Source organism: Homo sapiens, chromosome 13, assembly GCF_000001405.40.
Source record: "Homo sapiens chromosome 13, GRCh38.p14 Primary Assembly".
In the NCBI taxonomy this organism is placed as follows: domain Eukaryota; kingdom Metazoa; phylum Chordata; class Mammalia; order Primates; family Hominidae; genus Homo; species Homo sapiens.
The window spans coordinates 112761591-112785263 of record NC_000013.11 but is presented as its reverse complement, the minus strand read 5'-3'; the positions used below and the strand labels follow the sequence as shown (position 1 = coordinate 112785263).

General features: G+C 54.3%; 1 protein-coding gene and 1 long non-coding RNA gene across 14 annotated transcripts in view, besides 9 other annotated features; one reads left to right on the top strand and one right to left on the bottom strand.

The window, feature by feature from the left end:
* ATP11A (ATPase phospholipid transporting 11A) overlaps positions 1 to 23673 on the bottom strand; it is a 197131-nt gene that overhangs the window by 101905 nt on the left and 71553 nt on the right. For all 13 annotated transcript variants that reach the window (NM_015205.3, XM_011537480.3, NM_001405663.1 and 10 more), the window contains exon 2: positions 7 to 129. In NM_015205.3, coding sequence (NP_056020.2) covers positions 7 to 129 — 123 coding nt within the window. The remainder of the gene's footprint in view (positions 1 to 6; positions 130 to 23673) is intronic.
* Positions 4569 to 5434: an enhancer, noted in NCBI's record as "NANOG-H3K27ac-H3K4me1 hESC enhancer chr13:113434144-113435009 (GRCh37/hg19 assembly coordinates)". NCBI's record gives its function as "activates a minimal SCP1, AML or CMV promoter by ChIP-STARR-seq in naive H9 embryonic stem cells {active_cell/tissue: H9 hESC(naive)}" and the evidence as "EXISTENCE:reporter gene assay evidence [ECO:0000049][PMID:30033119]".
* Positions 6484 to 6633: a silencer, noted in NCBI's record as "fragment chr13:113432945-113433094 (GRCh37/hg19 assembly coordinates)". NCBI's record gives its function as "represses an EF-1alpha promoter that drives an FKBP-Casp9 reporter gene in an ReSE screen in HepG2 liver carcinoma cells {active_cell/tissue: HepG2}" and the evidence as "EXISTENCE:reporter gene assay evidence [ECO:0000049][PMID:32094911]".
* Positions 8249 to 8862: an enhancer, noted in NCBI's record as "H3K27ac-H3K4me1 hESC enhancer chr13:113430716-113431329 (GRCh37/hg19 assembly coordinates)". NCBI's record gives its function as "activates a minimal SCP1, AML or CMV promoter by ChIP-STARR-seq in naive H9 embryonic stem cells {active_cell/tissue: H9 hESC(naive)}" and the evidence as "EXISTENCE:reporter gene assay evidence [ECO:0000049][PMID:30033119]".
* Positions 10412 to 11104, top strand: LOC124903253 (uncharacterized). Its single transcript, XR_007063948.1, has 3 exons — positions 10412 to 10545; positions 10654 to 10739; positions 10854 to 11104. It is a non-coding gene; the product is annotated as an uncharacterized LOC124903253 (long non-coding RNA).
* Positions 14036 to 14591: an enhancer, noted in NCBI's record as "NANOG-H3K27ac-H3K4me1 hESC enhancer chr13:113424987-113425542 (GRCh37/hg19 assembly coordinates)". NCBI's record gives its function as "activates a minimal SCP1, AML or CMV promoter by ChIP-STARR-seq in naive H9 embryonic stem cells {active_cell/tissue: H9 hESC(naive)}" and the evidence as "EXISTENCE:reporter gene assay evidence [ECO:0000049][PMID:30033119]".
* Positions 16926 to 17255: an enhancer, noted in NCBI's record as "active region_8033". NCBI's record gives its function as "activates an Ori minimal core promoter by ATAC-STARR-seq in GM12878 lymphoblastoid cells {active_cell/tissue: GM12878}" and the evidence as "EXISTENCE:reporter gene assay evidence [ECO:0000049][PMID:35858748]".
* Positions 18830 to 19811: an enhancer, noted in NCBI's record as "H3K27ac-H3K4me1 hESC enhancer chr13:113419767-113420748 (GRCh37/hg19 assembly coordinates)". NCBI's record gives its function as "activates a minimal SCP1, AML or CMV promoter by ChIP-STARR-seq in primed H9 embryonic stem cells {active_cell/tissue: H9 hESC(primed)}" and the evidence as "EXISTENCE:reporter gene assay evidence [ECO:0000049][PMID:30033119]".
* Positions 19812 to 20795: an enhancer, noted in NCBI's record as "H3K27ac-H3K4me1 hESC enhancer chr13:113418783-113419766 (GRCh37/hg19 assembly coordinates)". NCBI's record gives its function as "activates a minimal SCP1, AML or CMV promoter by ChIP-STARR-seq in primed H9 embryonic stem cells {active_cell/tissue: H9 hESC(primed)}" and the evidence as "EXISTENCE:reporter gene assay evidence [ECO:0000049][PMID:30033119]".
* Positions 21680 to 22225: an enhancer, noted in NCBI's record as "H3K27ac-H3K4me1 hESC enhancer chr13:113417353-113417898 (GRCh37/hg19 assembly coordinates)". NCBI's record gives its function as "activates a minimal SCP1, AML or CMV promoter by ChIP-STARR-seq in naive H9 embryonic stem cells {active_cell/tissue: H9 hESC(naive)}" and the evidence as "EXISTENCE:reporter gene assay evidence [ECO:0000049][PMID:30033119]".
* Positions 22226 to 22773: an enhancer, noted in NCBI's record as "H3K27ac-H3K4me1 hESC enhancer chr13:113416805-113417352 (GRCh37/hg19 assembly coordinates)". NCBI's record gives its function as "activates a minimal SCP1, AML or CMV promoter by ChIP-STARR-seq in naive and primed H9 embryonic stem cells {active_cell/tissue: H9 hESC(naive and primed)}" and the evidence as "EXISTENCE:reporter gene assay evidence [ECO:0000049][PMID:30033119]".

Genomic DNA, 23673 nt, shown 5'->3' with positions numbered 1-23673 from the left:
AGTTACCTTGGACGAGACGATCCTGTTGTCTGGGTATCTCTGTGGGATGTAGGCCTCTGCGCCCGGAGGTGGCTCCCTGTGTCCCACGTAGATGGTCCTGCTGTCCACCCAATTCTCTTCTCCTGCACACTGCGGAAAGGAGAGCGGTGTTAGGCAGCTGCCTCAGAACCTGCATCAAAAGCTCTTGCCCAGAGTGTTGCCTTGAGGCACGTTCGTCGGAACGGAGACCTGTACCTGCTGCTGAGAGCATCGTTCAGGGCTGCAGGGAGACCTGGGGCCCAGCACCCCAGGCCCGAGCCACCCTGTCTTACGCAGCCCTCATGGGCCAAGGTCTTCTGGTGAGCACCAGGAGGGTCTGCGCTCCTGTGAGAGCCACACAGTGAACTTCAAAGCTGACTGCCAGTGGAAACAGCTCAGGGCGTGTACATAAGAACAGAACGCGGCCGGGCGCGGCGGCTCACGCCTGTAATCCCAGCACTTTGGGAGGCCGAGATGGGCGGATCACGAGGTCAGGAGATGGAGACCATCCTGGCTAACACGGTGAAACCCCGTCTCTACTAAAAAATACAAAAAATTAGCCGGGTGTGGTGGTGGGCGCCTGTAGTCCCAGCTACTCAGGAGGCTGAGGCAGGAGAATGGCGTGAACCCGGGAGGTGGAGCTTGCAGTGACCGAGATAGCACCACTGCACTCCAGCCTGGGGGACAGAGCGAGACTCTGTCTCAAAAAAAAAAAAAAAGAACAGAACGTGTGGCCAAATCGTAAGGCTTCCAAAACAGAAGAGACAGTGATGTTGGGAAAGGTCTTTAATGGAAGAGGAAAGAAAAACTATGATACTGGGGTAGAAGGCGGGACTTGACTCCAGAGGTGGGGCTTGGACACCGGACCAGATTGAGGACTGGTGAAAACAGGGCTGGGGCAGAGGCAGCTTTCCATAAGACATGCCCGCGGTGTGAATATCAGTTTACCATTGCCATGGCAACAGCCAGGAGCTGCGGCCCCTTTCCATGGCAATGACCCGATCGCCTACAAGTTACATCCTTCTCCTAGAAATTTCTGCATAAACCACCCCTTAATCTGCATGCAATTAAATCTGCCCTGAGCTACTCCTCTCCGCCTAACAGGGCAGCCCCGCTCTGCAGGGGCAGTCAGGGAGCTGTAGCCTCTTCAATGAAGCTGTTTCTTCCGCCTCCTGCTTGCCCTTGAATTCCTTCCTGGGCAAAGCCAAGAGCTCTCCAGGCTCTTGCCCCACTGTGGGGTCACCGGCCCTGCATCTGCAGATGGGTAAGAGTCGCTCAACCCTGCTAGGTGTCTGCTCAGGAACAGGAAGGCTCTCCTGCAAAGCTGACTTGGGCCTGACCATCTCTGTATTACTCGGAACACTGTATTTGGAGGAGTTAAGGAAACAGCTCTGACAAGAAATATTTCAACAACACTCAGGCGGGCCATTTGATGTCAGCACTAAAACCACAAAAATACTTTAGCTCGTAACGGGAAATCCAAACGCCACATCTGAATACGCAGCCCTGGCCATGGCCCTGAGCCCACCTCGGAATACGGGGCCTTAGCGTGTGGCTCTCGTCCCACGCCCCAGTTCTCTGTAGGAACTGCAAGACATCAGCCTTTCTGGGGCATGAGAAACACAGCTGAAGAGGAGACGGAAGCCTCCTCCATGAGGGGAATGCTGGTGCAGTGGGACGGGAAGGACGAGCGGGCACTGCCGTCGAAGGGCTGACCCTTGGCTGCTGGGCCACTCCTCGCCGCAGGCACGGGGACAGTTTCCCGCTGAGCTTCTCACCCATGAGGGGGACACCAGCACTTTCTCAGGGTCCTGGAGCATGAAATGAGGCAACGGGAACAGAACAAGGCCAGGGGCCCGGCCCAGCACAGACACTTGTAAATGCTCAGGGCCAAGTCCTCTCTGTGTGGGCTGCCCCTCGGTGCTTCAGGGAACTCTCGTTTTTTAAAGCCAAAAAAGGCAGGCAGGGTCTGAACAGTCTGGAGTCCCTGTCTGCGTGGTGCTCTTGTTTATAAACCTCATGGGGCTGTTTTTGGACTTGATGTCATCAGCTCCTCTGCTCCCCTACCAACCTCTCAGAGGAAGTCTTTCCACACTGTCCCACCCAGAACGTCCCGGACAGGAGCTGTGTGAATGTCTGCACATTTGCTTTAATAAATTCCATCGGTAATTCACCTGCAATTTCTTTTATTAGGACTCAGCTTTGCAGAAAAGTCTAAGTAAAATAACGGAAAGAGACCACAGCAGTCTCCATGTGCCCCAACTGTGTTTTCAGAGATGTTTGGCTGAGACTATCAACCAGTGTTTCCACGGGGAGCCGAGGCTTCCATGCTCCTGGGGACAGACGTACAAGGCAGCCACCAGGCCAGGGAGGAACACTCCACCCTCAAATGAGCCAGACGCAGTTTTCCTCAGCGCGACCTTGGGTCGTGGCCTCCCCGCGAGCCTGCTGGCCATGCAGTAACCGTCATCCTGGACTCAAAGCCAGGTGGGCAGCACAGCCCCACTGCCCTGACCATGCCACAGCCTGGCTGCCCCTCCCCACGAGGACGGGCCCTCCTCCTCCGGGACTGGGTCTCCCTGCCTGACGGGGGCCTTCCCTGCTGTCTCTATTTTGTGGTGAAGCCAACAAACCACAGGGATGTGGACTTTAAAAGCATCCTAAGAGCTTCATAAATAAACTGCTGCCTATAAAGGCTAAGCAAAGTCCCTGGCTCCTTTGTTTTCACAGAACATAGCCAAATAGATGCTTCTCATTCTCGTGAAATCAGGAAATTGCACTGAATAAGAATATAAGTGAACCAGAAAAAGAGAGAAAAGCATACAGATATCTTTTAATACAAAAGTGAAAATCCTAGAAACTTTCTTCGAAGCTTCAAAGACGGCAACTGAATTTCAGGAGTGGCCACGAGCCCAGACACTGGTTTGGAAAGCTGAACGCTTCCCTGGAGCCGTGTGGCATTGCCCATGCCACAGCGAGCCCACGCTTCCCGGCCGCTTCCAGCCAGCAACAAAGGGACCCTGTCTCATGGAGGAACGATCAGGATGAATGGATGAAGCCCACTCCAAAGTCTCAACACCGGCGAGCAGACGTTTATCATTAAATAATTACATCAAAAACAACTCAGATACAGCCCAACAGTGTAGCGGCGTTTAACCCGACACAAGTAGGAATGAGTATTCTTGTCTGTGCCATGGCTTCAGAAAACAGGCTGCCTGCCAACATGCAGTGGGCCTTGCCTGGCAAGTGCGCGGCCTTGCCTGATGGCCTCGTCAGCATAACAGACACCAGATTGGAACAGGAAAGGACCTGAAGCCATGAGGTCACTTAGACGGCCTCACCCAGGGCATCAGGAAGGTCGGAAACATACATGTCTCTTCAGGTTCACACTTCAAACCAAAGGGAGCTCTTTGTGTTGTATTCTCCACAAATGTTCAAATTCTTTTTTTTTTTTTTTTTTTGCAAAGTGAAAGCAAGTTTATTAAGAAAGCAAATGAATAAAAGAACAGCTACTCCATAGACAGAGCAGCCCACACATGGTCAAATTCTAGGAAGACTAAACTGCCCAAAAGGAACAGAGCCGAAAACACGCTGGACCCCCAGAGGATGCAGACACCGTCACTAACAGCAGCCTGGGGACAGGGCGCCCGGTCCCTGCTGCTCACTGGCTCTGTGGCTGCGGCTGCCTCACACCACGCGTCCGTCAAATGTTGTCAGCAGCGACATGAAGGGATTAGGAGGCCCAACCTTCGTGGTCCTCCCAGCCCTAGGATTCTGGTTCTCTGTACAGTTAGCAACGAAAACAAACTCAGGAGCCTCAATCGTGTAACTTCTGAACCTCACCGGTCTTGAATCCAGGGCCAGACATACTGTGCATAAACGGGGACATAGACAAAACGGGGTCCCTGCCGGGCATGGTGGCTCATGTCTGTAATCCCAGCACTTTGGGAGGCGAAGGCAGGCGGAGCGCTTGAGGCCAGGAGTTCAAGACCAGCCTGGCTAACAAGGTGAAACTCCATCTCTACTGAAAAAAAAAATACAAAAATTAGCCGGGCATGTGGGCGCCTGTAGTCCTACCTACTTGGGAGGCTGAGGCAGGAGAATCGCTTGAACCCGGAGGTGGAGGTTGCAGTGACAAGATGGCGCCTCTGCTCTCCAGCCTGGATGACAGACCGAGGCTCCGTCTCAAACAAACGAACAAACAAACAAACAAAAGACGGGGTCACATCACACGGGGCTGTTTTCAGGATTCAGAGCAAAGACACGGGTAGTCGGGAAGCTCTCCAGGGCAGGAGGATGGAGACCCCAGCCTCTCTCTCTCCGCGTTCCCAGACAGGATCAGCCACACAGCTCAGCCAGCCCTGTGCAACTCCTCGCAGCAGAACCCACCCACGGCCAGAGGCTTCCATCAGCAAAGCAAAGCTGAAACCAGGCACCAAACTGTCTATGTCAAGTAACAGGTTTCCTAATGACTCATTAACAACCCATTGTCCAAACTGCATCGAGAAAGCCACGTGGCAAGTCCCCTGGAGGGCTGGCATCAAGTTCCAGCTGAAGTAAAAATCTACCCTGTGCTGATGTGACTGACCATAGGACACAAACCGACCAAAGGAAACATCTCGAGCGACTCCTGGAGGGGCACAAAAAATTCGGCGAGAAGGTTCACGGCTGCGCTGTTCATGGAAGACAAAGGTGGCAGCCTCCAAACGCGCGTCCACTGATGAAGGGATACACGGAAAGGAAGGAAGCGCCGACACCCACAGCAACACGCGTGGGGACAGAAAGCATCCCATGTGTGAAGCAACACCATGTTGTGAGTCCATTCTGAGGAAATGCCCAGAAAAGGCGAACGCAGAGACGGGGGCTGCCGGGGGCTGGGCAAATGGCTGCTGATGGCCCCTGCCCGGGGGTGAAAACCTTCTGGGTTGGAGGGCGGTGGTGGCTGCCGACCGCCTCTGACTGGGGGATGAAAACCTTCTGGGTTGGAGGGTGGTGGTGGGTGCACGACTTTGAATATTTTCCAGTTGGAACCAACGGATTGCATGCTTTAAAAGGGAGGATTTTACAGTATGTGAATTATACCTCAGTAAAAATGTTGTAAGTATTTTTGCCAAATGAAAGGCATGCATGGTTTGCACACGAGATCATTATTTCCACACTTTCTCATTCTAGAAACCTAACAGTCACCTTGGCATCAAGAGATATCACTCATCTGTACAACTACCACCATCAAACTTGCTCTGATTTTCAGCTTGCCTTTGGTTTAATGCTTTAATGACTCAAGTGATTTTCTTTACTACCTTAGAGGAAAATGTCATTCTTTTTTTTTTTTCTTTTTAATGAGACAGAGTTTTGCTCTCATCACCCAGGCTGGAGTGCAATGGCAAAATCTCGGCTCACTGCAACCACCGCTTCCAGGTTTAAGCAATTCTCCCGCCTCAGCCTCCCTAGTAGGTGGGATTACAGGCAAGCGCCACCACGTCCAGCTAATTTTGTATTTTTAGTAGAAATGGTGTGTTGGCCAGGCTAGCCTCGAACTCCTGACCTCAGGTGATCCGCCCGCCTCAGCCTCCCAAAGTGCTGGGATGACAGGCGTGAGCCACTGCGCCTGGCAGGAAAAGTCATTCCTAGATGTCAGAAGTGCTTCTCTGTTTCAGTCTTCTGTGTAAATTCTAGAAACTTAGATATAAAGCTCTTCCTGAAAATCTCCGAGGAAGTGAAAACTATTTACTTTTAAACAATAATTAATTACTTTTTTTAAAGATGGGGTATTGCTGCCCTGTCCCAGCTGAAGCACAGCGGCTACTCCTCACTCCAGCGGCTACACACTCCAGTGGCTACTCCTCACTCCAGCGGCTACTCACTCCAGCGGCTACTCCTCACTCCAGCGGCTACTCACTCCAGCGGCTACTCCTCACTCCAGCGGCTACTCCTCACTCCAGCGGCTACTCACCCCAGTGGCTACTCCTCACTCCAGCGGCTACTCCTCACTCCAGCGGCTACTCCAGTGGCTACTCCTCACTCCAGCGGCTACTCACTCCAGTGGCTACTCCTCACTCCAGCGGCTACTCGTACTCCAGTGGCTACTCCTCACTCCAGCGGCTACTCACTCCAGCGGCTACTCACTCCAGTGGCTACTCACTCCAGTGGCTACTCCTCACTCCAGGGGCTACTCCTCACTCCAGCGGCTACTCACTCCAGCGGCTACTCCTCACTCCAGCGGCTACTCACTCCAGTGGCTACTCTTCACTCCAGCGGCTACTCCTCACTCCAGCGGCTACTCACTCCAGCGGCTACTCCTCACTCCAGCGGCTACTCACTCCAGCGGCTACTCACTCCAGTGGCTACTCCTCACTCCAGCGGCTACTCACTCCAGTGGCTACTCCTCACTCCAGCGGCTACTCACTCCAGCGGCTACTCCTCACTCCAGCGGCTACTCACTCCAGCGGCTACTCCTCACTCCAGCGGCTACTCACTCCAGCGGCTACTCCTCACTCCAGTGGCTACTCCTCACTCCAGCGGCTACTCACTCCAGCGGCTACTCCTCACTCCAGCGGCTACTCACTCCAGTGGCTACTCCTCACTCCAGCGGCTACTCCTCACTCCAGCGGCTACTCACTCCAGTGGCTACTCCTCAAACCAGCGGCTACTCATTCCAGTGGCTACTCACTCCAGCGGCTGTTCACAGGGACAGTTACAGTGCACCGTAGCCTTGAACTCCTGGGCTCAAGCAATGCTCCCTGTGCAGCCTCCCAAAGCACTGAGATTGCAGGCATGCCACCATGCCCCAAATTACCTCAACTTAGAATGTATTTCTAGCTACCTCAGTGTTTTACGTCCAACTCTGAAGAGAGTTACAAGGTTTTGGCCCTGTTGCCATTTCTTACACAGCATAACTGCATGGGAGCTGGAGTGTGCCGGGGCTTTCAAAGCCGCTGACCTGGACGACCTCCTCTCACAGAGCCGCTAAGCTCAGCAAACCTCCGCCTACTGCACCTCACACACTGATGAGAGGCACGTGGAGGCTGCAAGGCCTTGGGGCCTCCGGTGAGCTTTCTGTCCACCACATCAGCTGCTCACCTGGCCGCTAAAAAATACATTTTTGCAAAAGGTATGTGTGGTATGATGTTAAACATGCCCATCTGACTCATTTCCACGATTCACACGGAAGACTGTAGAAGAAGGAACAGGAAGGAGTGCCACAGGGTTGGGGAAACAGTAAAATGGACGCAGCATGCCTTCCAGACAGAGGCGCCTGCACATGGGCTGTGCCTTCTTCGGGGCCAGGCCCAGGCCTCTCCGTGCAGGGTGCCATAAGAGCACCTCCGAGAGGAATTCCACATCTGGCGTTGGGGGAGAAAGGCACGGTGAGCGGCGTGTGGGGAGCGCATGGGGAGGGAGCGGCAGGGCTTCCTGGCTGCATGGAGCCCACGGGGGAGGAAGTCTCACATCCCTTCTCCTGATATGTGTGCTCAGGACCTGGCACCGCACAGCATCCTGGCAGCCTTCCGGCAGCCTTCCCACCCACCTTCCAGCGGGAGGGGGCTTCGCAGAGGGGCAGCTGTAACCGCACAGCACAGCAGCCTCAGAGAAAATGTCACCACAAATTGCATCAATGCAGCTACCTGGGCAGCCTCTGTGGCTCCTTCCCTTAATTATTATGTTATTATATATATTTTTTGAGACGAAGTCTTGCTCTTGTCCCCCAGGCTGGAGTGCAATGGCGTGATCTCGGCACACTGCAACCTTCGCCTCCCGGGTTCAAGCCATTCTCCTGCCTCAGCCTCCCAAGTAGCTGGGATTACAGGTGTATGCCACCACACTTGGCTAATTTTTGTATTTTTAGTAGAGACTGGGTTTCACCGTGTTGGCCAGGCTGGTCTCAAACTCCTGACCTCAGGTGATTTGCCCGCCTCAGCATTCCAAAGTGCTGGGATTACGGGCGTGAGCCACCATGCCCAGCCTTAGTTATTTTTTTAAAGATAGTTTTGACATTTGGGATTGATCCACTGCTGCCTGAAAACACACAGTCTTTGTGCACATGCCTGGCAGTGTGGCTTTCTGACAGGTGCCAGCGCCTGAGCTTGGTGGTGCCTGGCAGTGTGGCTTTCTGACAGGTGCCCAGGACCTGTGTTCAGTGGTCGAGGAAAATTTCCCTAAGGAGCAAACACCCCTGAGGCCACTGCCACAGGAGCATGAACTCCAAACCCGCGGTGCAGAGAGGCTCAAGGGGCAAGACGCTGCGTTTCAGAAGATCTACGATGCGACACTCTCAGTGTGCACCACAGCATTTGGTCAGATATTAATCTCAGGCCAGGAGCTGAAGCCTCTCACCCGACAGGTCATCTCGGCTGGTCGCGGGGGCTCAAGCCTGTAATCCCAGCACTCTGGGAGGCCAAGGTGGGTGGATCACCTGAGGTCAGGAGTTTGAAACCAGCCTGGCCAATATGGCGAAACCTCGTCTCTACTAAAAATACAAAAATTAGGCAGGAGTGGTGGCACATGCCTGTAGTCCCAGCTACTTGGGGGGCTGAGGCAAGGAGGATGGCTTGAACCTGGGAGGTGGAGGTTGCAGTGAGCCAGGACAGTGCCACTGCATTTCAGCCTGGACGACAGATTGAGACTCTGTCTCAAAAAAATAAATAAATAAAATAGAATTTACTATCACTTCCTACTTGACAGAGCGCAACACCAAACCCAGAACCATCGCCAGGCAGGCCGGAGCACAGCGTGCAAACTCACACCCGATCAATTATCCAGATGGTTTAGGCAGCGTTCAGTGTCACGCAGCATAGACACCTGCCTTTTGAGGGGCAGCACTGGCCTCACTGGCCCTCTGACCCTCCCCACATTTCCCCGTTAATAAAGCATGGAAAGGAACAGGGCAAGGGAGAGGACGGAGCAGGCAGCATGGAGGAATTTGCTCCAATGCGCCCAGTCCGGGGATGGAAGGAGGGTCTGGGATCTGGCCTGCGCTTTTGCTCACACACAGGACACACTACAGGGGCTGTGGGGAACTGTCAAGGATGTGGCTGACTCAGCAGCCCCAAGGTGTGCCTTCATGCAGACGGGCTCACTTGAGGACGAGTAACAGATGTCAACATGAATCCCCGTGGAAACAAACGACAGCCACTGGAACAAGCAGCAGCAGCCACGGACTCCGAGCCTGCAGGTCAGCCGCCTCCACGGGCTCCCAGGGACTCCAGCCGGGCCAGGGAGGCGGGAAGGGGTCCGGGGAAGAGGGCTGGGAGGGCAGCTGTGGGCCTGACGGCGTGGGCTCACGCCCGGGAGGCGCAGCAGCCTGTGGGGCTGGCAAGGGGAGAAGGGGACGGGGGCGTACTTGCTGTTCTCTGGCTGACCCCAAGTTGGAACTGGGGGCAGAAACTAGGTTGTCGTGAACTAAGTCGCGCCCGCCCTGCGCCAGGGCCGTGGAGGTGTGGGCTGGGCTTCCCTGGTCACAAGTGGCTCAGCCACTGTCCCTCTTCAGGAAGGATGACACCTCTCCAGATACACCCACTTACAGGCGGGGGGGGCATTATGAAATAATTCAAACGTGCAGAAAACTGGAGTAAGGAAATAAATCACCCAGATCTCACAAATGTTAACATTTTTGCTATATTTGTACCAACCAATTTTTTTCTTACAGAAATAAATTTAAAATATAGATTTTTATATAAGTCATTTGAAAGTATTCGCCTCCTTCTTTTTAAAAACTCTGGCAACGGTAAGTAGGAGAGGAGAAAACTGCAGTTACCTAACACCCCTTTAGAGGAGGCATGTCCTGGAGGCCCCAGGCTGCTGGGCCAAAAGCACCCTGAAGCTGCTGGGAGGGGTTCCTCCTGTCAGCGGCCCCCCGACTGTGGAAGCCCGCCTGTGTGCATCCCATGCCTCCCGCTGTGTGGTAGGAAGGAAGAGGACGGGGCTAAGGCAGAGTCGGATAACGAGCCCTTCAGCAGAGAGGGGCGCTGTTTTCGGCATCTTCACAGCAGAGCTTCACGCCGTGTTCTGCCAACCCCACTGGAAGAAGAAACACCTGGAAGCTACGCGGCCAGCCCACGGGCACTTCACCTGCACATCAAGGGCCTGCCTCAAAGCAGGGAAAGAACGATAAACTGAGTCCCACCAAACGCTGTTAGCTCTCTAAGCCAGTGCAAGCAAGGCCCCTGCGGGCAACCCACTCGCTGTCCCTCAGACGCCACATCCGAGGCACACGCTGCAGCCCGCTGGCCTTGCCGCCTACCCCGATGAAGTGGGACCCACCGAACAACAAAGCCTCCATTCCCCAGGGTCTTGCAACTCTGCGGCTCCCGTGACGGGGGAAGGTGGGAGGAGCTGCTCAGACACACAGCCTCGCACGCCAACGACGCTCTTCACCGATGCCGGTAGACATGTGTGTTGCTTAGCCAGTCTGACATACACAGGGCAGTGACAGGAAAAGGCCCATAGGAAAGAGCGTTCATTCAGACCTGACCCAGAGACCCAGGGCTCTCACACTCTGAGACTGTGACCTGGGATGAGAAATACACTGTAAGTCACCATGCAGTCCGGGCTGTGCATGCAAACACAGGAAGGCGAAGCCTCCCCTGTCTGCTCAGTCTGGGTCTTGCAACCGCTCTGGTTCTGCATGTCTTTCAGGGCTGCTTTACCTTGAAATGAGCCGCAACTGTGATCTGGTACACGTCTTTTGTGAGTGGGTGCAGCACATCGCACATTTGCAATTTGTAAGTTGGAATCTCACCCTCCCCTGAGAGTCCCTGATTAAAATAGTTGCTGGAATGGGATCTGTGTTCCTCTAAAGTATCATCGTCTCCCATTTCTCCAAATATAATAAACAGGGCCCAGGTGTGACATCTTCTCAAGGGCGTCACCCAGGAAGACATGGTCCTCAACCACCCTCTTCTAATTTCTGCAACTGGAGATACCGGAAGCTTTGATGTAAGACACCTGGCTTCCAGTTTAGAACAGATGACTTACGAAACCTGGGAGGCATCAGCTGATGTGACAAGTAAAGACAAATCCTGGCACCAGACCCAAGTAAAATCTGCTTTCATAAAAGTTCTGTTAAAAAATGAGTAAAATCAAAATAGCCTGCAGTCTATCCTTTGTATTGGACATTTCCTAGGAGGCTGCAACCTTCGGCCGCAATGCTTAGCCAGGTTCTCTCTCCGCCAGACACAGGAGGGAATTCCTAGTTCCCCGTGAGGTGGACGGGAAGCAGGGAGGCAGCGGGCACTGTGTTTGAGGAGCTGAGGTTCTTTGATGCCTTCCACCGCTCTGTGAGTTCCTCCGGGACCCCTTCTCTTCCCAAGGCAGCAGAGGCACAGGCAGGACTTCCCTGGGAAGGCACGAGGTGGGGTGGAGGGTGGAGGGTGGAGGGTGGAGGTGGCGTGGAAATCCCGCACAGGTGCACCTCTCCACACCCCGTGATGCGCGTCACCCACAGACGCAGATCGCCACTCACACACGCGGGGCGTTGGCAGGTGCCACACAGAGGGCACCACGACTAAAAACACCCTGTTCTGCTGCAGGCTGCATGGAGCCCAGCGCCACAGCTGCTATCAACAGTGTTGAGGAAGGACCAGTTACCCAAAAGAGCACAGGAAAAAGCTGTTTCTGCAGACAAAGCCCTGGGCCTTTCCTGGGACCCCCATCCGCCACAGGGCTGCACATTTACAAAAGGGCTACAGCTTCCCAGAGGTTCAAGGATTCCCTTCATTTGCTCTTTCAGAGGGCAGGGAGAGTGGGGAAGGACTCCTGGCCACTGGCTGAATGCCTGGCATCGGCTTGGGACCCGTACAGCTCGGGAAAGCAAGACTCACCCGTGGGAAGAGAAAGCCATGGTGGGTTTGGTCGATACAGAGAGAGGCGGCATTTCCTTTGCTCAGATTAAGCAGCAAATAAATTAAAATACATGAAAACAGAAGGGCAGGGTGACACCACGCAAACTGCTGCAGGCCAATCCAGGCCACCACTAAGCGGTTTACAGCCTGCATTCTGTTCTGAGGGTGGCGATGGTGGGGCAGGGCAGGGCAGGGCAGGGCAGGAGGCGCCACAGCTCATCAGAACCCAGAGGCGATGAGAAACAGCCTCATGGCACCCTCTGGGGAGAGAGATGGATGGGCCATGGCACAAGGGAGCACCTCACAGGCCACAGCCCTCGGGGCTCTGGGAGGCTCCTGAGTCCCTCCCAGACAGAGATCACCATGGACCAGGCCTTCCCTGTATGGCCCACGTGGACACACTCAGGGTTCTTGGGCTTTCATGGCAGAGCCATTCCCTACATGGAGCATCCGTGATCAGATGCCAATCATAAACAATTAGAGATTGTACCTGGAATATATACAGAATGATTCAAACTCAAAAATAGAAAAGACAAGGCGGAATTTCTCTAGAGACCTGCAAATGGCCAACAAGCCCAGGAGAGGACGCAGAGCACCCTTAGTCACCAGGGAAATGCGGGGTGACCCCGCCAAGTGGCAGAGCCAGTCACAAAGCCCCAGGCTGCTTGACTCCATCCACGAGAAGCGTCCACACGGGCAAATCTGCGGGCAACAGAAGGTGCATTAGCAGCTGCCCAGGGCTGGGCTGGGGCATGACGGGAGGGGAGCTGGGGACAGGGCTTGGGAGCACCTGGTACTGGGCACGGGGTTTCATTTGAGGGTGATGACAAGCACTTGGGAGGGCCTGGTACTGGGCATGGGGTTTCATTTGAGGGTGATGAAAATGTTTTAAAATTAGATTGTGGTGATGTTGTGTAGCTTGGTAAATATAATAAAACTCATCAAATTGTTTAAGTGGGTGATTTTATGATATGTAAGTTATATTTCAACAAAGCTCTCTTCCTACACACTCGCGACAGGCTGAGCACTGCTCACTGCCCTGCTTCCAGCCACATGGCCCCACCGCAGCCGCTCCAGGTCAGCACCCCTCACCGCTGGAACCTTCTACCTGCCCATCTTCTGCACAAACGTAGGCTTCTCTCAATTTTCGTGTCAGCAACATTTTTAAAGTTTAGTTTTTATATATAGTATATAGAGCACTGTTGACATAATAAACTCCGTCTTAGAAAAAGACTTTGTTTTACATTTCATAGGGCACTTTGCCAACAAAGATAAGGTGATTTGCTTAATAAACAAATTAAAAAAAATAGGACAGTATCCAACCAGGTAAGGACACAAAAAGCACTCAGTTCTCATGGGAGGACTCTGCCTCAGCCGCTGCCGCCTCGCAGTCACTTGTGATAAGAACTTGGCATCTGCCCCGCAGGCTCTGCCACCTGAGTCCTCCTCGTAAGACCACGGACCACCCCGCCCAGCCCAGGGCTCCCGGTGTCTGCTTCACTCCCCACCGGACTGGTTCATTAACGTTTCCTCCTATCTCCCTTTTTCTCTTGATATTAAATGTTACTTTGTTTGTTGTGGAGTGTTTATAACATTTATGTATTGATTAGGTATACTATTACTATGGTTTACAACATTGACTGATGTGAGGAGTGGCTTGAGCCTGTGTGCCCGCGGCTGGGACTACCCGAGTGACGGGAAGCACCAGCAGTTCCCGGCTTTTGTGACTGAAATAACGTCAACAAAGGCCTCACACTACAGAAAGACACAAGTGCATGTGGACCTGGTTATCTCTAACCTTGCACTACTCATGACAGATAGGGTCTCATAGTGGGTAAAAGTGAGCCCAGTAAGTTTCCAAAGGAGTATGCCTAAGAAAAGAGAAACTAGAAAAAAAAGAGATTATTCTCAAAGTAAGAAGAGAGAAACGGCTGAGGGCAAGCACCATGCAGCTGTGTCCTCCGGATTTAACCAAGGGGGCAACTCCTCCCACCAGCGCAAATACAGTCACCTGCGCCCGTCCCAGAACCCAGGAGACACATCTGGGCTGGGTGGGATTCCAAGGTGTCTCTGCCTGGCGCACGCCTTGCCTCCCCTCGTTGCCCCAGTAAGGGCAAGATGTTTCCGCATTCGAAGTTCAATCAGAAAATCGCTGGATTACCCAAAATAACCAACTTTCCACCGTGGGTCACGCCTTCACCATCCTTACCATGAACTCTGTTAGGGCCTGGGTTGTGGCTGCCCGCATCAGGTTAGAATGGGGTTAGAATGCATGCAGGGACAAAGGAGATTTTTTAAAAATAGGCTGAAAACCACTTTTAGCCAGGGTTAGACACCTAATGGAAGTTTCACATTTCAGCTGAGACAAACAAAACCTATTAGCTGAATTACACCGCGGGGCAGAACAGAAGCAAGCCGACCGGCCTCAATCACTGGATCAATGTTTACAGGGCGATTCTCCCTAATGGCCGGTATTCAAATGTACAGGTATCCAGTGACACAGCCACTTCTTGTTCTGCCGTCCGTGTATAGCTTCAAACAGCAACGTTTCTTGTTTGATGGTCAGAAGATCGTGGGCACTTAAGCGTTTCTAAAAATAGGCTTCCTCCTGACTCGCCATCGCCGCCTCCTAGCAGTCCAGGGAAGCGGCGCGTGGAGCCTGTGCCTCCCCCGTCTCTCAGTGGCTCCCAGGGGCACCCTGGCCCCTCTGGTGGGCGTGCGGGCCTTGCTCGGGTGTAATAAACGCAAACAGGCCCTCCGCAGGTGGACCACGTTTCCACCGCCGTGCTGAGATGCACGGTTCTCTCCCACCTTCGTCCCGGCATGTAAGCAGGGTCTGGGGTCTGGGGTGAGGCTTCACGTGGGCACGCCCATCCCTCTGTCCTCCTTGGTCCGAGCCACTGGCATCTGCTGGGACAGGATCAGAAGCTCCACTGGTTCTCCCCACTCTCGTCACACTCATGGTAACGACTGGATTTCTCTCCTTCCTTTTTTCTTTTCTTCCTCAAACAAATCTCAGGTATTTTCAAGGCTCTCAGTGGCATTCTCCTGCCATGAAGATATTTTTTGCACAAAATCACTTGGGTCACAATGATCCACAAAAGCACAGGGACATCCCTTTGATCTGGAAACACAGTCGACCTGGGAAATGTGGGGTGCCAGCGGACCTAGACCATAGTTTACTGGGTCCAGAACTGAAATAAAAATATAAATTCTCACCCCAAATCATTCTTGGCCTACTCTGGAATGCCTAATTCTGATAGTTCACAACAGTGGGAAGAAACACAGAGCTTCCTAAGAGTCGAGACACAGAGGAAAAGAGCCGGTGACCAAAGCATCGCTTGGAGCCCACAGCACGTCCAGGATTGGGGGGTGCAGTTGGAACAGACTCCGCTGGACTCATGAAATGCAGCAGGAGCAAACGTAACGCTGATTTCATGCGATTCACCCTCCATTTTCGACAGGAGTACGTTTCTGACCAGGCTGCCTGTGAAGCAGCAGCTGTGGCTAACGTGTGTCCATTTACAGCCGCGTGGGATGGCACGGGAAGTGCTGGGAAGCGATCAGACAGACCTGGCTTCCCCGCGGCTCTGAGGCTGGCCTCAGCACGGTGCCTTCACGGTGCCTCTCTCAGGACAGAGACTCCTCTTCACCACAGGGCACTGGGCAGGCTCGCCCACCCCTCTGCAAATCAGTGCTAGAAATCGGCAGCTTTCCCTTAGACTCAGGCTGGTGCATTCCTCATGGCCACGTGTTTCTGCCTGTCACTGAGGCTCATCTCACCTGGAAAACCAGGGTGGTGTCGAGGTTCACATGACTGAGCTATGGGCCGGCTCTGGGGAAGTTGGGAGAACTATAAACTCAGGCATTAGAATTTGAGGCCAAGGTCCCTGCTCCAGTGTGCAGAAGAGAACCTGGTTTTGGCTCTGGCCAAAGAGGAAGCGCAGCAAAGAGGCCACAGCTGCCAGGGACCCGGGTCACGGGCTCCTTCAGTTCACCCCCAAACGCAGCGGGCAGAGAGTCACAAGCCACTGGCCGGGACAACCATGCTGGGAGCCTCAGGGCCAAGGCTGTGCTGCACCTGCTGTGCCTCTGAGCCTCAGAGAGGAGGGCGGGGCTGCAGGCACGCCGTGGGGCCGGGAGGTCCTGTGCCCGGTTTGGAGCTCAGCCCTGGCACACGCTCAGGGGTGTGAGTAGTGGTGCTGACTCAAGAAGAGAAAGGCAAGTGGGGGAGGCCGGGCATGGGGAAGGGTAGGAGCCTGGAAGGAGGAGCCGGGGGGCAGCCCATGGGGCCCTGTCATTGCTCCCGTCTCCCGACTTGCAAACCTTCCCCCCATAGCAGTTCCACCCCCGACCACAAACACCTCCCCATCAATCACAGACATAACCAACTTTCCACCATGGGTCACACCTTCACAGTTACTAACGTCACAGTGCAGCCTCCACTGCCCGCAAGTGAACTGCAGGTGAAGACAAGAGAGCACCAGGAATCGGAAAACAGGCCCAGCATGAGAATGAGCAGCAACTCCGCCCTGAGGACCGGGCGAAACCAACCTACAGGAGAGACGCTCAAGCCTCAGCACCCGACCTCCAGATTCTTCCCAAGCCACCGGAAAACACTGCGTCACCCACGAGCCCAGCGGGAACACCGAGGGGTCGCTGCGTTTATTCCCCACGACTGAGTCCCTCCTTCTAAAGATGAATTAGCCAGAAAACTAAGCAAGCATATCCCAATTCACAAACAAACATGTTAGTATACGTGTCGCCTTTTAAGCAACGGAAATTATATACCTTCCAAGTGCAGAGGGTCACGAGCCACTGGCCGAGACAACGAATGCATTGTAGGCATATTTCCAAAATATTGAATATATATCTAATGAAGACAACTGCAGGACTGCGAGTCAGTAACTGGATAACAGCATACACAGAACAACTCCAGACACCAGGGCGGCTCAGCTGGCGACAGTCTGTGAATGCGCTGTCTGAAATCCGGCAGGCACCCTGGATCCCCAAAGCTGAGACTCCACCATAGGGATGGTGCAGCGTCCGCTGGAGAGGCTGAGGTTGCCCCACAGCCAGTGGCCGACGCCAACTCCACAGAGGAAGACGCCGCAGAAGGCAGAAGTGAAAGCGAAGACGCTGCTGGTAGAGGTGGAGGCGGGCGCCTGGGGCTGCCTCTTGTGTCCCATGTAGCTCATCACAGGGCCGCCCTGGCAGTGGCCGGGCTCCACGCAATCTTGGGAGGCCGGAATAAAAGAACGGCTATGAGGAAGTCGGAGGAAGGCAGAGAGGAAATTCCCAGAAGCAAACAGGCACTTGGAAAACCTTCAGGAGAAACGAAAGAAACAGGAGGACACGGATCCCAGGGGTGACGGGGCTGCCACCAAAGCCACCACCAAGCCAGGCCAGAGAGCAGTGACCAGAGAAGGGCGTTTCTGTGACCAGCGCTTGGTGGGGAAGTGAGGAGCCGGAGGGGGTTCCCCAGCCAGCAGCGAAACCACAAGTCCACGGGCCACACCTGAGTGCTGCGAGGGGTCTGCACGCAGGCACTGCCACCGAGCAGGTGACAAGGATGAGCCTCAGGTCAAGCCCACCACCACAGACGCACTCACGCTCTGGAGTCCTAGACTAGAGCTCTGAGAGACTTCAGAGTTTGCAGTGTGGCTACTGATATCATTGGCCAAGTGGGGAAAGTAAAGGTAGCAACTTTTTATTGTGAGACTGGGTATCAGAAGAATGTCCTCTCTTCAGAGTAAAAGAGTCACACACCCCTTTCAAAAGCCAATTATGTGCAGATGATCAGACAGTCACAGATATTCTGTGGTTAGGCAAATAGCCAGGCTCCCAACAGCACCCCCACATCCTCCCTACCTTCCCACAGGGGCCCCCGATACCCCTACATCCTCCCCACCTTTCCACGGGGGCTCCCAGCACTCCCACACCCTCCCCACCTTCCCACAGGGGCCCCCAACACCCCCACATCTCCCCACCTTCCCACAGGGGCCCCCAACGCCCCCACATCCTCCCCACCTTCCCACAGGGGCCCCCAACGCCCCCACATCCTCCCCACCTTCCCACAGGGGCCCCCAACGCCCCCACATCCTCCCCACCTTCCCACAGGGGCCCCCAACACCCCCACATCTCCCCACCTTCCCACAGGGGCCCCCAACACCCCCACATCTCCCCACCTTCCCACAGGGGCCCCCAACACCCCCACATCCTCCCTACCTTCCTACAGGGGCCCCCGATACCCCTACATCCTCCCCACCTTTCCACGGGGGCTCCCAGCACTCCCACACCCTCCCCACCTTCCCACAGGGGCCCCCAACACCCCCACATCTCCCCACCTTCCCACAGGGGCCCCCAACGCCCCCACATCCTCCCCACCTTCCCACAGTGGCCCCCAACACCCCTACATCCTCCCCACCTTTCCACGGGGGCTCCCAGCACTCCCACACCCTCCCCACCTTCCCACAGGGGCCCCCAACACCCCCACATCTCCCCACCTTTCCACAGGGGCTCCCAGCACTCCCACACCCTCCCCACCTTCCCACAGGGGCCCCCAACACCCCCACATCTCCCCACCTTCCCACAGTGGCCCCCAACGCCCCCACATCCTCCTCACAGGAATCCATGTTCAAAGCCTGTTTCCTGCAGAACTGGGCACCTGCTGCAGCTTTCAGCACAGTGAATATGGAGGGAAGAGGCAGACTCCCTCAGGTGCTTCTGCCCCCATCCTGGGGGGTGGGCAGAAGCCAATGAGGGAAACCCTCCCCCTTCCCCTTCCCTTACAGGGAGACGGATGCAAGCATGTGACGGTGGTCCTGCAAGGACCCTGACCCCAGAAGACACTGCCGGGCCAGTCACTGACCTGAGGCTGCAGTATAGATTCAGCCGGGACGCACCTTCTGGACGCAGCTCTGCAGGGAGGACAGTCTGGGAAAGAGAGGGTCCCAGGAATGCCCTGTGACAGCCTCTGGGTGAGGGGCTTCTCCCCCCAGCACAGGTGTCCAAAGGAGAGAATACAGTTTTGGGTTCTTACTTTTTGTTTCTGGTTGGGCCAGTAAAGCCCCTTACTCATCCCTCTTCTGCTTATTACTAGAGACAGAAATGAAAAACCATGGCTTCAGGCTGCTAAAAGCCTAAAACAAAAGAAAACAGAAAAACAACAAAATAAGGCAGGTTGGACGACCTTGCATGGAGAGGCAGAGATTGCCTCGTCGGAAGAATAAGAAGTCCGTCTCCACCACCGTTCCTTCCTCAAGCAGGTGGGCACATCTGAAGAATAAGAAGTCCGTCTCCACCACTATTCCTTCCTCAAGCAGGTGGGCACATCGGAAAACGCTGCGTCAATTTCTACAACCCGTGACAGGGGGATCCGCCCCCGACCGTATCCCAAGAATCCACACTCGTGAACTAAAACTGCCCATGGTCAGTTAAAGGATCAACGCCGGACACCGGCCTGCAAGGAAGCCGCGGCTTCAGAAGGGGGAGGACCCTGGCGGTTACGCCTGCTCAGCGCTGTGAGGGGAGTGGCTGCTTTACGGGAGGTCGTTACAGAAAATCGTTTGTATTGTTGGTTTACTAAGCTCTGCAGCGAGAATTATTCGTGAGCATCTTTCAGATCCACTGTAGCAGGCTCCGGTCAGTCAGAGCTTTCGTTCTCAGAGACATTTCCCCACACTAACTGGAGTATTTAGCACCTGAGATATTTTGTTCAAAGTGAATCTAGTTTTCAGATCGAATGGTTCTTAGGTCTCTCTCAAACCCGTGACTCATTCAAAAGATCAACCCTCGTTCTCACCATGAACATCGACTGAGCGCTTCTTCCTGTGTTTGAAGTTCACTTAGGCAATTTCAGTACATTCTCCCTCGTTCAGAGGCCGCTTCTTAACCTTAACCATGTCCCAGAGACACGCTCAGAAGAACGTGGAGTGGACAAGGAAACGGGGCCGAATCAGATGGAGTGAGGGGAAGGGAGCAGAGGCGGGGCCTGCCCGGAGGAGGCTGCACCAGCGAGACCACGACCCCCCCAGGCCAGGACCAGAAAACAAGGCAGGGCGGGCCTGGGGTTCCAGGCGTCCTCAGAGGCCTCCCCAAGGATGGGCCTGGCCGTCAGAACAACTTGCCAGGCCTCCAGGTCACAGGAACTGCCCGGGCCACCCCTGCTGCTCCTCCTCACCTCTCCTGTCTGTGTCCAGACATGAGACTGGAAGACCCAGGGGGAGAAGCTTCCAGAGCCGGGGCGGGGGGGAGGGGGGGCAAGCCAGCCACTGTCAACGCACTTTGCTGGCTGGGAAGCACTCACCCCATCTCACTGAAACCCTCAAAGTTGCCAGGCAGCAGCTAAGGAGCAGGTGCCGTTCAAAGGACTTGCAAGAAAAGCGTGCGGTGGGGAGGCTGCCAAGATGTCCCTGCCTTGCCCCAGTGCCCATATAATCCTCCTCCAGGGATCCGAGTGAGGCAAGTGTCGGGGCTTCTACCAGCCCAGACTGGTAGCGCCCTGAGCTAAGGAAAGAGGTTGGCTCATGGTCAGAGGGTGTCACTATTACTGATCTTCTGGGATAAACAACCAGGCTGTGGACATTCCATAAGAAAACGTGCCTGGGTCCCATTCACCTCAGTAGCCATCCAGTGTGAACGCAGGACTCTGCACTTCCAGCCCACTGCAGCCCCAGCCCCAGGCAGACGAGCCCATCAAGGGGACACAAACCCTTTGAATGCGGTGACTTAATGCACAGCCTGATGCAGGGGGCACGTCACCAGCTTCCTGGGCTTCCAGGTCCTCTTCGGCTCCTTTAATGCCATCCCTGCAGCAGTCACAGCCCACAGGCCCCACCTGGGACTCTGTCTGGATGGGAGGCAGGGTGGGGGCCCAGCCCAGGCCTGGACCTTCCAGACAGAGTTCTCCCTGCCCTGTTCTGCTCATCATCAGGAGGTCTTCTAACCCTGACAGACCCAGGAACCCCTCCATCAGGAAACAAATATTCCTAATGTCCCCATTCCATGAAATCGTAAGGAACAGGGCTACCTGCACCAGGAACTTCTACAAACCACTACAGTGCACTGTCTGTGACAGACACAAGGAAGCTAAGTCGTGATAAACACTCAAGCATGAGCCTATAAGGAACAGGCCGGGGCCCCGCAGGTGTCAGAGGCGAAGTGTCCAGGAGCGATGTCACCGTGAATGCAGAGGCACCACCGTGCCAGGACGCCTAGGGTCAGGGTTCCATCACCCCACACAGATACTCCTGCTTTTATGGGGGCTACGGCCAAACAGGGCTACTGCAAGCTGTGACTTTCCAAGATCCTAACAACTCCTGGTAACACTCCAAACAAAACATGTCATCTCTTTCCACAACTTACGTTTATATCAAAAAGTATCTGAAATGGCTCTCAATCAATTTAGGGGTTTATTTTGCCAAAGTTAAAACCATGGCCTGTGACATGGCCCCAGGAGGTCCTGAGAACGTGTGCCCAAGGCGGTTGGGGCACAGCTTGATTTGACACATTTTAGGGAGACAGAAGTGACAGGCAAAGACATAAACCAACACATGGAAGGTGGCGTTGGTTTGGCCTGGGAAGGTGCAACATCTCCAAGCAGGGGGTGGGGGAGCCTCCAGGTCACAGGTGGATTCAAAGATTTCCTGACTGGCGACTGCTTGAAAGAGTGAAGCTCGGCACGAAGAGTTGAAGTCAGCGTGAAGTTAAGATAAGGAGGTCGTGGAAGCCAAGGTTCCTCCATGTAGAGGATGCCTCCAGGTAGCAGGCTTCAGAGAGAAGAGATGGTGAGTGTCTCTTAGCAGAGCCTAAAAGGGTTCAGACCCTCCAGAAAAGAGCTGGAAAGGGAAGTGGATTCTCTACAGAATGCAAATTTCCCCCACAAGAGACAGCTGTGAGGGGCCATTTCAAAATATGTCAATGAAATGTATTTTGAGGTAAGATAATTTCTCTCAGGGCCTGCTATCGGTCATGTGAGGGTACACTAGAGTCAGGTTGGAAACTTACTGGTACAGAGAGTCTGTTTTGTCAGTCTCAGGTCTCTGTTTTAATGTCACTGCTGGTCCAAAGGGAGGAGGGTGGGATGAGGCCTGTCCGAGCCCCTCTTCCCATCAGAGCCTGAACTCGCCTTTCCCATTTCCTTGGGGTCCCCTTGGCCAAGATGCAGGTCCATTCCGTTGGTTGGGGGCTTAGAATTTTGTTTTCGGTTTACAACGTAATAGCTGTTGTTATAACGTGTACCTGGGATTTGCTATAATCAGGCATGGTAAGACATGCAGGCATAGAAATTATCACGAAGGAAGAAGATCTTTATACTCAACTCCCTGGACGCAGGCACTCAGCCACCGCGCAGGGCTGCTCAGGGATGCGCTTTTCTGCGTCTGTCAAATGCTTTTTGAAATTAAAGGCATAAAATGGGGCAAACTGAAGAATGGTTTTATTCTTTGCCCCTAAGAAGTTACCAGAAAAGGATGGGTCACTGCCACCGTCTGCCTCACTCAGAGCTCAGGAGCCGCGCACGGCGAGGAAGGCCTGTGCTCCCGGCACACACGTGACTGAGTGCCCCGGCCTCCACGCCACTCCTGGAGGGCTGCCCGTCATACCGTGAGCATTTGTAAAGAGACACTTTTTGTTTGTGATGTTTTACGTTTTATGATCTTGAATGAAATTATTCCGTGGAACTTAGCTGAGCATAACTGGGTTTCGAGCTCATGACTTTACAGCAATGGAATTTTACCACAGGGACATGGGAGTTAAGGGGAAGAAAAATGAACCACTTCTGCACATTTCCAGCCTGCGTCACACCCAACACACCCGTCTGTAGCTGGCTCTTATCTTCGGGTGAGGAAAATGATGGAGCAGTATCCTGAAGGAGTTTATCGTGGTCTCCTCCGAACCACGGCCGGGACTGAAGACACCTCCTGTCAACAAGTGATTGTTGCATCAGGCGCACAGCAGTCTCGGGGGCCCATAGAGACAGTTCTCACAAAGGCCTGCAGGCTGCTGCTGTCTTTCCAACAGCGGCCTTTCAGGTCCCAGCTCATACTCTGAGAAACTGCCTCTCAGCCTCAGAGACCGATTTCCTAATCTCAGCATCGGGCATCAGGAATGATGCAGAAATGCCACAGTCTCCACAGTACAGATTCCAACCTCGCTGTGATAGGAGGCCAGCAGGACCCGGCCCAGAAGCCCACCCTGAGCTGGGGCAGAGGAGGAGGAGGGGTTTGGGAGGTCTGCAGTTAGCTGCCCTGTGAAGGTTTCCCACACACTTAAAACCCACATATACCTCATAAGCACGAGTCTCCATGACCTTAGGTTACAATGCCTTGATAACAGGGACTGTCTTTCCTGCTGCTTTCTATCTTCCATCGAGGTCACGAACTCAAACACCCACAGGGCTAGGCAGTTGACTCCAGTAGGGAGGAGGTGAGTGTGACACTCAGCCTGTAAGCCTGGGGCAGCTGATGCCAGCTTGGCCAAAATGTCCCTGGGGAGGCCCCACCCCTGCTGCAGGTTCACTATGCAACCTGGCCGAACAGGTGTGTCTCAAGAATTTTCTAAAAGCACAGCTAGAATGAGCCACAGTGTTCCAGCCGGGGCCACACCGGCTGACAAGTGACAGACTAAGGTGTGCAATGGTGTGGGTGCAGCAACCCCCTTATCCTCAGGGGCACCTCCAAGACCCCAGGAGATTCCTGAATCCGAGATAGTACCCAAACCTATGTGCACGATGTCCCCTTTATCCTCAGGGGTGCTTCTAAGACCCCAGGGGACTCCTGAATCCGAGATAGTACCCAAACCTATGTGCACGATG